The following is a 13,396-nucleotide window of genomic DNA, read 5'->3' as shown; positions in this document are numbered from 1 at the left end:
GGGAGGCCAAGGCGGGAGGATCACTTGAGCACAGGAGTTTGAGACTAGCCTGGGCAATATAGTGAGACCTTGTCTCTACAAAAAATTTAAAAAAAAAAGAAAGGAGGGAAAATGAAATGAATCAAGTATAGAAAGGCCGACCATATGTAATTTGCAATTGTGAGTAGAGTATTTTGATTTAAGCAGAAGAGTTCATGAAGGGTACTAGTGAGGGATTGGTTTGGAAAGGTAAATTATCATGTGTACTTCAGTATATGTGCTGAAGGTCAAATCATGCCATCTAACATGTGAGATACAATTCAAAACAAGTGGACACTTGGTCTTGATCTCAACCTGGAAAACCAAGGTTACATAGGGATTCTATAGCATTCCCAAGGCTAGCTAAGATCTGAATCTTAAACAAGGGATTACTAGAATGTAAGATTGAAAAGTAAAGAATTATGAACCATGGGTTTGGCAGACATTGAATTTATCCAGTCTTAATAAAACTGAATTTTTTCATTTTACAGTCTGGCGAAATTGATATTGTGAATCACAAGACAGGAGACAAGTGTAATCTTAAATTTGTTCCTTATAGCTACTTCTCTCGGGATGTAGCAAGAAAGGTAAGGGAAGTTGAAATTTAAATTGTTTCACGTAGCATGTATCTCTTAGAAAGCATACTCCTTTAGGACTGGAATGTATATACATGTGGGGTGGTATGGGGGTGTGTACATTTTATATAGTGTATGTGTACATATAGTGATTCAAAAAAAGTAGAGGTGAAAGGCTGGGCGCGGTGGCTCACAGCTGTAATCCCAGCACTTTGGGAGGCTGAGGCAGATGGATCGCCTGAGGTCAGGAGTTCGAGCCCAGCCTGGCCAACATGATGAAACCCTGTCTCTACTAAAAATGCAAAAATTAGCTGGGTGTGGTGGCGCGTGCCTGTAATCCCAGCTACTCGGGTGAGGCAGGAGAATCGCTTGAACCTGGGAGGCAGAGGCTGCAGTGAGTCTCGCACCATTGCACCCCAGCCTGGGCAACAGAGCGAGACTCCGTCTCAAAAAAAAAAAAGTAGAGGTGAAGGAGAAAGTCATCAAGAAAGACTATATTGTATTACTACTAAGCCAATTCCTTCTCTTTTCTGGGAATGACAATAAGTGAGGAAGTGAAAGTGTCGAGAGCAATGAGAGATTGACAATGGGAAACACGGTGGAGGCGGGCGGATCACCTGAGGTCGGGAGTTCGAGACCAGCCTGACCAACATGGAGAAACCCTGTCTCCACGAAAAATACAAAATTAGCCGGGCATGGTGGCATATGCCTGAAATCCCAGCTACTCGGGAGGCTGAGGCAGGAGAATTGCTTGAACCAGGGAGGCAGAGTTTGCAGTGAGCCGAGATCACGCCATTGCACTCCAGCCTGGGCAGCAAGAGAGAAACGCCGTCTCAAAAAAAAAAAAAAAGAAAGAAAGAAAGTAAATGGGAAAACACAGAGGAAGGACTAATAAAAGATTTCAGGAAAAAGGGGTTTGATCACTGAGAAGTTTGAGGGGGAGTTGTGTGATACCACCATAATGATTTGTGTCATGAGTTTCTGTGGGAGACTGAAGAATAGCTGGGGATTTAAATCTGTTTATAGGTCCCTGTGAATTTCTTGAGAGAAGAAAATATAATTCTGAGTACCAGTCAGATGCTTTTGCTACGTGTATCTTTGATACAAAAATCCCTGGGAAGGGTAGTGAGGGGAGGGGACAGAGAGCAAGAAGTGGGGATAAAGAATAAAGTCTAGTATTTGCTGGCACAACAGGGTGACTACAGTCAAAAATAATTTAATTGTACATTTTAAAATAACTAAAAGAGTATAATTGAATTGTTTGCAACACAAAGGATAAATGCAAATTATATACACCTACTATGAACTCACAAAAATAAAAACTAAAAATAAAGTTTACCAAAAATCCCCATATAACAAAAAATGATAATGAAATCCCCAAGTCATGGCTCAGTTATTTCAAGTAGCAGAAAAAAATACAACAAAATAATTTGAGGCCAGGCATGGTGGCTCATGCCTATAATCCTAACACTTTGGGAGGTGGAGATAAGAGGATTGCTTGAGCCAAGGAGTTCAAGACCTGCCTGGGCAACATAGCAAGACCCCTTCTCTACAAAAAAAATTAAAGACTTAGCCAGATATGGTGGCACATGCCTGTAGTTCTAGCTACTCAAGTAGCTGAGGTGAGACATCACTTGAGCCCTAGAGTTGGAGGCCACAGTGAGCTACGATTGCATCAGTGTACTCCAGCCTGGGCAACAGAGCAAGATCCCATCTCTAATAATAATTTGGATGACTCTCTGGTGTTTGTTATAACAGGACCTAACCATTATTTATCCTAGGACTTCCAGTATAGTCAGGTAAGCTAATTCACAGTGAATTCTATATAGCCAAGCCCTGTTCTCCACCCTTGCAGGTGACGGGGGAAGTGACAGATCCATCAGGAAAAGTCCACTTTGCTCTTCTGGGGACGTGGGATGAGAAAATGGAATGTTTCAAAGTACAGCCAGTCATTGGGGAAAATGGGGGTGATGCTCGACAGAGAGGCCATGAAGCAGAGGAAAGCAGGGTCATGCTGTGGAAAAGGAATCCTTTACCGTGAGTATCAGCATGCATGCTGCCCAGATACCACTTTGACCTTGACTGTGGAGCAATATTGAAGGCATTTCTGCCTGCCCTCTCACTTAATTATGTGGGGAATTGAGCAAGGGAAATTGAGACTTTTGGAGAGATTAACAGAAGGTTGTCATTGTATGATTTGACTTGTAGCATGCTTATTTCAAGGAAGTTCAAACCAAACTACATCTGACAAAAAATACTTTGTGCTTTCTAAAGGTCCTTTGGATTGTGATTCAGAAGGGTATTTTTCTACTATTTAGAGCAAAACTGTTCAAAAGTGGCTAGAGGAGGAAGGTGCCTACCACCTGTTAACAATTTAGCCTAAAGGCCCATCAGCAGCCAGGTGCGGTGGCTCACGCCTGCAATCCCAGCACTTTGGGAGGCCAGGGCAGGTGGATCACTTGTGATTAGGAGTTCAAGACCAGCCTGGCCAACATGGCGAAACCGTCTCTACTAAAAATACAAAAATTAGCCACATATGGTGGTGTGCACCCATAATCCCAGCTACTTGGGAGGCTGAGGCATGAGGATGACTTGAGCCCAGAAGTTTGAGGTTGCAGTGAGCTGAGGTCATGCCACTGCACTCCAGCCTAGGCGACAGAGTGAGACTGTCTAAATAAATAAATAAATAAGAAAAAGAAAAAAAAGCCCAGCAGAAAAGAAAGATCCCTGAGACAATGTACAGGACTTTGGAAACAAGATGGAGGTCACTTATTTCCTGTCGTCATCTAATACAGTCAGTTTGTAGTGATAGCCAAGATTATCCCAGAGAGAGTTAAAAAGAAAACTAAGGAAACAGGAGTGAGGAATTTTCATTCAGTAGAATGTTTCCTTCTTTCTAATGAACGTAGATAATTTCAGCTGGGCACCACACAACACCAGAAGACTATGGAACTGAGTGATGCCAGGGAGCGGATGGGGAGGGATCCAATTTGTCTCCTTTAGTTAGGGCAATGTGACATGGTCCTAGATCCTTTTCACAGATCCTGTTTTTGTAGAACAGCCTTGGTGATGTGGCCTTGGCAGTGTACTTAGTTGTTGCTCTTTAAATAGGGTCTGGGCTCTGGGATTACCATTTCTTTTTCTTGTCTTCTACTTTTAGGAAGAATGCAGAAAACATGTACTACTTCTCAGAGCTTGCTCTGACTCTCAATGCTTGGGAAAGTGGCACTGCCCCCACAGACAGCCGGTTACGACCTGACCAGAGACTGATGGAAAATGGACGCTGGGATGAAGCAAATGCGGAGAAGCAGCGCCTGGAGGAAAAACAAAGACTTTCCAGAAAGAAGAGAGAAGCGGAAGCTATGAAAGCCACAGAGGATGGTAATGAACTTCCCTTCTACTCTTCTTTCTTGATGCATGGAGAATGCCAGCACTAATTTTTTTCTTTCCTCTCTTTTCCTTTTAGGCACACCATATGATCCCTATAAGGCACTGTGGTTTGAGCGGAAGAAGGACCCTGTTACCAAGGAGTTAACCCATATTTATAGGGGAGAATACTGGGAGTGTAAAGAAAAACAGGACTGGAGCTCATGCCCGGACATTTTCTGAAACGGCAGTAACAAAAAAGAGGAGCATATAATGGAGAAGAGGACAGAGGATGTGTGGGAAAGCTGGAAGTTGTGACTCTCTTACCAAGTGCTTTCCTCAAGTTTGTCTCTCTTGACCAATCATTTTTTCCAAATCAATCACCAGAAGGAGACACCAGTGGTGGTGATTGGCTGGTTGCCTTAGCTGATTGAAACTGAAATCGACATAGGAGATACTATGTCTGTAAGGGAGAGGTTTAGTGGCCGAAGGTTAGTGTTATTCCACATCCACGAAGTCAAGTATTCTTGGCTCTTCTTTCTCCCTCTGCCCCCATTTAAGACAATGTCACTCACCCTCCCCTTGTAGTATCCTGCTCAGCCAAGATCTGCCTAAGATTATGATTCAGGGGCATTTTGGTGCTGTTAAAAGCAAGAGCCGAATTTAGAAGTTCCCTTAAAAAGAAACACATAAGACTTACCAATGGAGGCATTGTGAATGGTTGCAGTGGAGCTTAGGTATAACATCATCAAGTGTGTTCACACGCGGGGTCGGTTTAATGGAGTGTCCACGCGGAGATAACTGCGATATTGGAACACCTGTGAGAGAGATTGTTCTATAGGGCTGGAATATTCAGAGTTACATTCTTGGAAGTTTCTGTTTTTACTTGCATCAAACACCCCTCTGTTGTTCTCCATCATCTTTAATAGCAACTGGAGACCACTTTGGTCATTGGTAAGGGGGTGCATTCTCCTCACAAAGGGGTTTTATGGACTTCCTCAGGCGGAGAGCTTCTGAGAACACAGGCAGGATGGAAAAAGACTACTAGCCACTTTTGCTTTCCCAACCCCCCTTAATGCCATCCTTCATTGTCTTTCTGGCTTCTCTTCTTCTGGCACAGTACCATTTTGGGTCTGTGCCCCAGTGTGGAGCAAAACATTGCCTGTCCCATTCTGATATACTTCAGAATTTGAGAGCAGAAGTTAATGTGGAACAAAAGTTTTCACCATCTCTCAAGCCCCAAGGACTGGAGCCACCTCTGGAATAATGTGTTAAATATCTGTATATTATATATATGTAGAGAAAAATCTAATTTTTTGGTTTGATTTCCTTCCCATTAAGAATCTTGTTTTTTGATACCCTTGTCTCCCTGAGACTCTTTCTTGGACACGTGTTGATGTGGATGGCACTCCTGCTCTCCATCTTTTATGGGCAGAGAGATTTCAAAACCTGAGCAGGATCATGTCTGGCAGTTACTAAACAGGGACTTTGTCCATGGTTTGTATCATGGGGTGCCTACTGCTGTCTAAACTCTGCTCTCCTAATTAGCTGACTCTTGAAAATGAAATCCTAACCTCTTTCCTGCCTCTTTTCTTTCTCTTTTCAGGAAGAGTGTGGGTAGAAAGTCCGGAGGGCAACTTCCAATTTAATTCTGCTCTGTCCGGCGCATAGGCTGAATTCCAAAAGAACTTTCTTCCTAGGATGTGGGGCTTAAAGCACCGTCATGTGGGGTGGATCAGATAATTGCTCCTGTGGGGCCCTGGCTTCCTTCTCTGTTTGTGCAGTATTTGTTTTTGTTGTCTTGTTGAGAAATATCCCCTGTGCAACCCACCCTTGGTTGAGGATCACAAATTGAGGTGCCTTCCTTGTATGCTTTTTGTTAGTATTTTTTGTTTTTGTTCCTTAACTGCTGAGCCTCAGCCAGCGTGGGTCCTGGGGGAAATACCATTCCAAAGGAAGCCATCCCTATGGGGAAATTGGTTTTACTGGGTAAATTAATACTTTTATTTCTTCCCCTATCCCTTCCTTCCTAGTTGTGATAAACATGGGAGAGGAGTGACTTTGACTGCTGGGGAATTTCCTCCTAAGAACCTTATTCCCAAAATAAGCCAGGGATTATGTCAAGGCTTCTTTCAAGGAGGCTCATAAAAGCAGTGACCTCATCCGGGGCTTTGGATAGAGTGAGAATTCCCCAACTAAATTGGACTTCTCTGCTTTATCCCCTTCTCTTCCTTCACCATCTGCACTACATTTCTGGCTGATCCCAATCAGATTCCCGCTAATGGAAGAAGTTTAGAATCTTTCAGGTGGAATAAAGTCACATGAAAACAAAACACAACTATATATATTTTCAGTTTTTTTGCCTTATTGATTTTTTTCCAAAAAAAAAAAACTACTAAATTAAATAATTTTTTAAAAGTCATATTGTTTGTCTGATTCACTTCTGCTGCTAGGCAGTAAGTGGTGTTGGGGAGGTGAAGGAGAACTGGTCCAATGGTAATTTGTTCTGCTCAAGAATCTGAGCGCCCAGAAGCCCTGGTCTTCATGAGAAATGGAAAGTAAAGCTGTTCACCACCACTCCGGAGGGCCATGAGCAGAGGAGTAGTTTTAACAGCCCCTGCTGCTTAAATTAACAGTCATCAACATCCCACCTTAGTACAGGGGAATCGTTTTTAGTGTTTTTGGTACTGGGCCTGCTTCACTTCAAAAATTTTCCCTGTAAATTTAATTTATCTTGTCCATTTAGATTCTCAGATTGTTGGCTGTTTATGTAGGAATTCAAATTCTGTTTTTTGTTTGAGACAGGGTCTCACTCTGTCACCCAGGCTGGAGGGCAGTGGCATGACAGCTCACCGTAACATCCACCTCCTAGGCTCAAGCGATTCTTGCCACCTCAGCTCCCCAAGTAGCTGGGACCACAGGTGCATGCCACCAGAACCAGCTAATTTTTGAATTTTTAGTAGAGACAGGGTTTTGCCATGTTGCCCAGGCTGGTCTTGAATTCCTGGGTTCAAGCAATCCACCAGCCTCTGCCCCCCAAAGTGCTGGGATTACAGACAGGTGTGAGCCACTGCACTTGGCCTCAAGTTCTGTTTTTGAAACAAGCAATTGAGTTTTGATTTGAAGACCTTTGAGAAAACTAATGACAGTGAACATGTTTGTACAAGTTTTCACTGGAAAGTTCAGGTTCAGGGAGGGGATAGGCAAAGTAACCTATGGTCCTGGCGGGGGCTCAGATCAGAGCAAGCACAATTCCTGCCCGTGGGAGGGACCTCACATTTGCTGAGCATCTGCCTCCATGGAATAGGATCTGCCTCCATGCTGAAATAGGAACTCTGACCATTCTCTGGCTTGCACATAAACGATTTTAAGAAGAAAATGTTGCAATCATTTTGAAGATGAAGGAAACCTAATTTAAATAAATTCACTCATGGTCATGTAGCTGGTCAGTTAGTCACAGTGTTGGAATTCAAAGCTGGGTTGAGTTTGTGACCTCTACAGTCCTGTGCTCTGGAAGAAACTCTGGGTTGGAAGGCAGCTGATAATTAAGTACTTTCCTCCTAGATTATATCACATCATGCATAAATGCACATTTTCATTTCCGGAAGCTAATATCGATAGCACCATTTCTTTTTTTTCTTTTTTTTTTTTTGAGATGGAGTCTCTCTCTGTCACCCAGGCTGGAGTGCAGTGTCGCGATCTCAGCTCACTGCAACCTCCGCCTCCCGGGTTCAAGCAGTTCTCCTGCCTCAGCCTCCCAAGTAGCTGGGATTACAGGCACGTGCCACCACGCCCAGCTAATTTTTTGTATTTTTAGTAGAGATGGCGTTTCACCTGTTGGCCAGGCTGGTCTCGAACTCCTGACCTTGTGATTCACCCACTTCAGCCTCCCAAAGTGCTGGGATTGCAGGCGTGAGCCACTGCACCTGGCAGCACCATTTCTTTTAAGGCTGTACGTGAGAAAGGAGCATCCCCTGAAATTCAGCCTACAGGTTCCTTGATTGATCAAGGCCCTCATGTCTACAAAGTTGGCTCTGATGTCAGGGATGATTTTCTAGCCTGGTTCTTAGGAAGGCCACCTAAGTGTTCAAGTCATTTGCCTGACTCCCATTGGCTGGATTTGATATTAAGTTTCAGCAAAGGTTTTTTTCCGGCAAGCTAAGGAACCACTGCAGTAGACCCCTGACATTTGTGAGAGCTGTATCCTGCAATCTTGAATACTACCATGGCACACAATGTCCTGCATTAGGGACAATCAAGTGTAGCTGAAACATTTAACGATCCCTCATTGAATCCTTTATTATTTTTATTTTTATTTTTTAAGATGGAGGTCTCACTATATTGCCCAGGCTGTTCTTGAACTCCTGGGCTCAAGCGATCCTCCCACCTCGGCCTCTTGAAGTGCTGGGGTTACAGGTGTGAGCCTCTGTGTCCGACCCCTCATTGCGTCCTTTAATGTGACATGATGGGCTAGGATGTGGATCTTGAGGGGTCTACCATGCTCAGTCATGATTCAAAATTATGACTCAGCAAAATGATAAATTATTAAATTTGTCGGGGACCTCTGAATTTGCACAAAAATGTTAAACCTATACATTTAAGGGTCTGCTGTACTTTCAGCAAGATAATTGAGAACCACCCTACAGTATTGTCCTAAAAGGAGGTATGGAAAATCTTTGCAATTCATTCACTATAGTTGTATATTTTGTGCAACTCTAAGATTGTTACCAAAATTTATAACTTGCTTCTAAAAGTTTATAAAACTTATGGCCAGGCAGGGTGGCTCATAATCCCAGCATTTTGGGAGGTCGAGGTGGGAGGATCACTTGAGATCAGGAATTCCAGACCAGCCTGGACAACATGGTGAAACCCCATCTCTACTAAAAATACAAAAATTAGCTGGGCATGGTGGCAGGTGCCTGTAATCCCAGCTACTTGGGAGGCTGAGGTGGGAGAATCACTTGAACCTGTGAGGTGGAGGTTGCAGTGAGCCGAGATTGCGCCATTGCACTCCAGCCTGGGCAACAGAGTGAAAAAAAAAAAAACTTTTGCCAAGTACTCTACAGTACCCAGTGGGAAGCATCCCAAGCCTTTCATGGCGCTCCCTTCCAAAGCTCATAATTTGTGGTTAAACTCTCCTCATAATTTTTGGCTAAACTCTCCTGCTCACATTGATCCCTCAGGGGAAGGAGACAGGGTAGACAGATGAGGCTTCTTTAAAGGCAAAAAGCTGAAGGTCTCGGATCTTCTACAAAGAGTATTGCAGAGGTCACATCTTCTAAGTTTGACCAGGTGACATTAGAGGTTGCTAAAGAAAGAGTTGGTCCTGAGATACGGCTAGATATTTTTAAATTAATTATTAATTCCACATTTACTCTAGCCTGTTACGTGACATACATTGGGGATGCAAATAGCAAGAAAGAGCGTAAACAGGCAATTGCAATCCAGTTTTATAAGTGGTGTAAAAGCACAGCAGGGACAACTATTCTGTAGTGAATTAGGAGGGAGGGGATAGAGACATGTCTGAGAAGACTTCTAGGAGAATGCATGTGAGCTGAGAGTTGCAGGTTACATAGGGGTTAGGAGAAGGGCAATGTCAAAAATGCTGCATGGAGGAAGATGAAATGCAGGGCCAAAGCATTCTGAGTTCAGATGACTGCATGAATAGCTTGTGTTTAGTGTCAAAGAGAGAGCCCTGAGATATGCTGCTGGAGAAAGTTTAGCCCCAAGTTATGGAAGGCTTTTTACATACCCTATGGAGAAGCCATGTAGCTCCTGCCTGCAATTCTAACATTTTGAGAGGCCAAGGCAGGAGGATCCCTTGAGCCCAGGAGTTTGAGATCAGCCTGGGTAACATAGTGAGACCCTGGTCTCTGTTTATATTTAAAGGGGAAGAAAAGCCTGGGTTTTTTTTCTTTGCTTTTTTTTTTTTTTTTTTGAGATGGAGTCTGGCTCTGTCACCCAGGCTTCCAGGCTGGAGTGCAGTGGCGTGATCTAGGCTTGCTGCAACCTGCCCCTTCCAGGTTCAAGCAATTCTCCTGCCTCAGTCTCCCAAGTAGCTGGGATTACAGGCACGTGCCACCATGCCTGGCTAATTTTTTGTATTTTTAGTAAAAACAGGGTTTCACCATGTTAGCCAGGCTGGTCTCGAACTCCTGACCTCAGGTGATCTGCCTGCCTCAGCCTCCTGAAGTGCTGGGAATATAGGCCTGAGCCACCCCATTCGGCCCAAGAGCCTGGATTTTTGTTTTTAACTAGAGAGCTAGTGAAACATTCTTAAGCAGGGTGGAAAATGATTGGAGAGGGGCCGGGTGCGGTGGCTCACGCCTGTAATCCCAGCACTTTGGAAGGCCAAGGCGGGCAGATCACCTGAAGTCAGGAGTTCCAGACCAGCCTGGCCAACGTGGCAAAACCCCATCTCTACTAAAAATACAAAAAAATTAGCCAGGCATGGTGGCGGGTGCCTGTATTCCCAGATACTCGGGAGGCTGGGGCAAGAGAATTGCCTGAACCCGGGAGGCAGATGTTGCAGTGAGCCGAGATCGTGCCACTGCACTCCAGCCTGGGCTACAGAGCTCCCTCTCAAAAAAAAGAAAAAAAAGAAAAAAAAAAAAAAAAGGAGGTTGGAGAGGATACGAAGATGAGAAATGGAGGGCTTCCAGAAAGGATGAAGTAGAATGAAAGCATTTCATGGCTTTCCCATAAAATGGAGGGCAGAGGGAAGAAGGAATTCTTATTTTTCTGACTTAGGAAACCTAGATGGAAGATGGTAGTAAGATAAGCAAGTTTAGAAGGAAAGTTAGGTTCATTTTTAATTTTTTTAGAGATAGGGTCTCACTGGGTTGCCTAGGTTGAAGTGTAGTGGCATGATCATAGCTCACTGCAGCCTCCAACTCCTGGGCTTAAGCAGTCCTCCTGCCTCAGCCTCTCTAGTAGCTGGAACTACAGGTGTGCGCCACTACGCCCAGCTTATTTTTTTATTTTTTGTAGAAACGGGGTCTCACCATGTTGCCCAGGACGGTCTCAAGCTCCTGGCCTCATGCAATTCTCCCACCTCGGCCTTCCAAAGTGCTGGGATTACAGGTGTGAGCCACTGCACCCAACAGGTTCATTTTTAGACATGCTTTGTAAGATGTGCCTGTTCAGAAGTCGAGTAAGCAATTTTAGAAAATGGGTCTTAACATATCATAGTGGCATTTTTGTGAGAACCGAGGAATGAGAGACTGAGAGAGCCTGCACATAAAATCAGCTGGCCAACTTAAAACACATATAATACCTTGACCCCATCTGCAGAGATTCTATTCAATTAGGGGCTAGGGCAATTTTAGACACACACACACACACACACACACACACACACACACACACACACACACATAATTGCCTTAGCCCTAATTGAATCAGAATCTCTGCAGATGGGGTCCAGGTATTTTACATATATATGTGTGTACGTATGTGTGTGTGTGTGTATATTTTTTTATACATATACACATATGTATATATAAATTATATATATGTATGTATGTGTGCATGTGTGTATCACACTGGAACCAGGTGCAGGGGCTCATGCCTGTAATCCCAGCACTTTGGGAGGCCAAGGAGGGTGGATCACCTGAGGTCAGGAGTTTGAGACCAGCCTGGCCAGTGTGGCAAAACCCCATCTCTACTCAAAATACAAAAATTAGCCAGGGCCAGGGGCGGTGGCTCATGCCTGTAATCCTAGCACATTGGGAGGCCGAGGCGGGTGGATCACGAGGTCAGGAGTTCGAAACCAGCCTGGCCAATATGGTGAAATCCCGTCTCTACTAAAAATACAAAAATTAGCTGGGCGTGGTAGCACACACCTATAGTCCCAGCTGCTCGGGAGGCTGAGACAGAAGAATCGCTTGAACCCAGGAGGCAGAGGTTGCAGTGAGCTGAGATCCTGCCACTTCACTCCAGCCTGGGTGGCAGAGCGAGACTCCGTCTCAATAAATAAATAAATAAATAAATAAATAAATAAATAAATAAATAAATAAATGAATAAGCAAGCCGGGCGTGGTGGTGGGCGCCTGTAGTCCCAGCTACTCGGGAGTCTGAGGCAGGAGAATCGCTTGAATCCGGGAGGCAGAGGTTGCAGTGAGCCGAGATCGTGCCACTGCACTCCAGCCTGGGCAGCAAAGCAAGACTCTGTCTCAAAAAGAAAAAAGAAAAAAGAAAAAAGAAAAGAAACCGACTTAAGCATAGACAAGTAAATGACTCAAGAACATAGGCAAGTAAGTGACCGGAAAAGGACTTAAATCCACTCTTTGTCATTAATATACCTAGCCTATGGTAAGTCTATACTACGGTATTAATTTTCCATAGCTGCATAACTAATTACTATAAACAGTAGCTTAAAACAACACCTGTTCTATCCATTCACGGTTTATCCGTTCATCTGTAGATGAGAAGTCCCACATGATGTGACTGGGTTCTCTACTCAGGGTGTCACAAGACTGAAATCAAGGAGTTGACCAGCTTGAGTTCTCATCTGGAGGCACTGAGGGGAAAGCTGCTTCCAAACTCATTCTTGTTCTTGGCCAACTTAGGTTTCCTGCAGTTGCAGAACTGAAGACCAATTTCCTTGCTGGCTGTCAGCTGAGAACCACCCTCAACTTCTAGAGACTGCCCGTATATTTTTGCCACATGGTCCCCTCCATCTTCAAGTCTTGTGTTTTGAGTCTCTGACTCCTTTCTGCAACCAGCTAGAAAAAACCCTCTGCTTTTAAAGGGCTCAAGTGATTGGTCAGGCTCACCCAGATAATCACATATTTTAGAGTAACCTGTACTATATAATATCACCTAATAACAGGTTATAAATTAATATGATGAATTTCATAGTCCCAGGGATTATGCAGGGTTTTGTGGGGCTGGGAGGGTGTTTTGTGGGTCATTTTAGAATTTTTCGTACTTCAACTACCAAGGGAAACCAAAAGGGTGAAATTTAAGCTAAACAAATGATAGGCTCTTGAGTCTGAAAAAACTGTAAAGTCACCTAGTTTAGGCGTGACAGCCACAAACATCTCATTTCAGATGTACTCTTAATCTTTCTTGAGAATGACAGTCTATACTCATCCTCCATTTTAAGCCTATTGTTTATAAATTCTAAACTAAGGTCATGGCGCTTTTATTTCAAATTGTAATGAGTCCATGCTGGCTCCTTATTTATGAAGCAAGTGAATACAAAGCATTGAATTATTCTAACAGCCTTATGGAGTTTATATAAAACTTTTTTTTTTTTGAGACGGAGTTTTGCTGTTGTTGCTCAGGCTGGAGTGCAATGGCGCAATCTCGGCCCACTGCAACCTCCACCTCCCTGGTTCAAGGGAGTCTCCTGCTTCAGCCTCCCGAGCAGCTGGAATTACAGGCGTGCACCACCACGCCCGGCTAATTTTGTATTTTTAGTAGAGACGGGG

The 13,396-nt window shown here is 43.9% G+C and overlaps 1 protein-coding gene across 1 annotated transcript in view, besides 1 other annotated feature; it reads left to right on the top strand.

The window, feature by feature from the left end:
* OSBP (oxysterol binding protein) overlaps window positions 1-6,381 on the top strand; it is a 41,377-nt gene extending 34,996 nt beyond the window's left edge. Inside the window, exons 11-14 of the mRNA NM_002556.3 lie at window positions 510-605; window positions 2,449-2,630; window positions 3,754-3,974; window positions 4,060-6,381. Coding sequence (NP_002547.1) covers window positions 510-605; window positions 2,449-2,630; window positions 3,754-3,974; window positions 4,060-4,202 — 642 coding nt within the window. The 3' untranslated portion in view covers window positions 4,203-6,381. The remainder of the gene's footprint in view (window positions 1-509; window positions 606-2,448; window positions 2,631-3,753; window positions 3,975-4,059) is intronic.
* Window positions 3,530-4,729: an enhancer, noted in NCBI's record as "BRD4-independent group 4 enhancer chr11:59343523-59344722 (GRCh37/hg19 assembly coordinates)". NCBI's record gives its function as "activates an origin of replication core promoter dependent on BRD2, P300/CBP, MED14 and CDK7 cofactors, and independent of BRD4, by STARR-seq in HCT116 cells {active_cell/tissue: HCT116}" and the evidence as "EXISTENCE:reporter gene assay evidence [ECO:0000049][PMID:35650434]".
* Window positions 6,382-13,396: the final 7,015 nt, after the last annotated feature.

This window comes from Homo sapiens, chromosome 11 (assembly GCF_000001405.40).
Source record: "Homo sapiens chromosome 11, GRCh38.p14 Primary Assembly".
NCBI classification, from domain to species: Eukaryota; Metazoa; Chordata; class Mammalia; order Primates; family Hominidae; genus Homo; species Homo sapiens.
The sequence above is the reverse complement of the archived record's forward strand: the minus strand, read 5'-3'. Positions and strand labels throughout refer to the sequence as shown.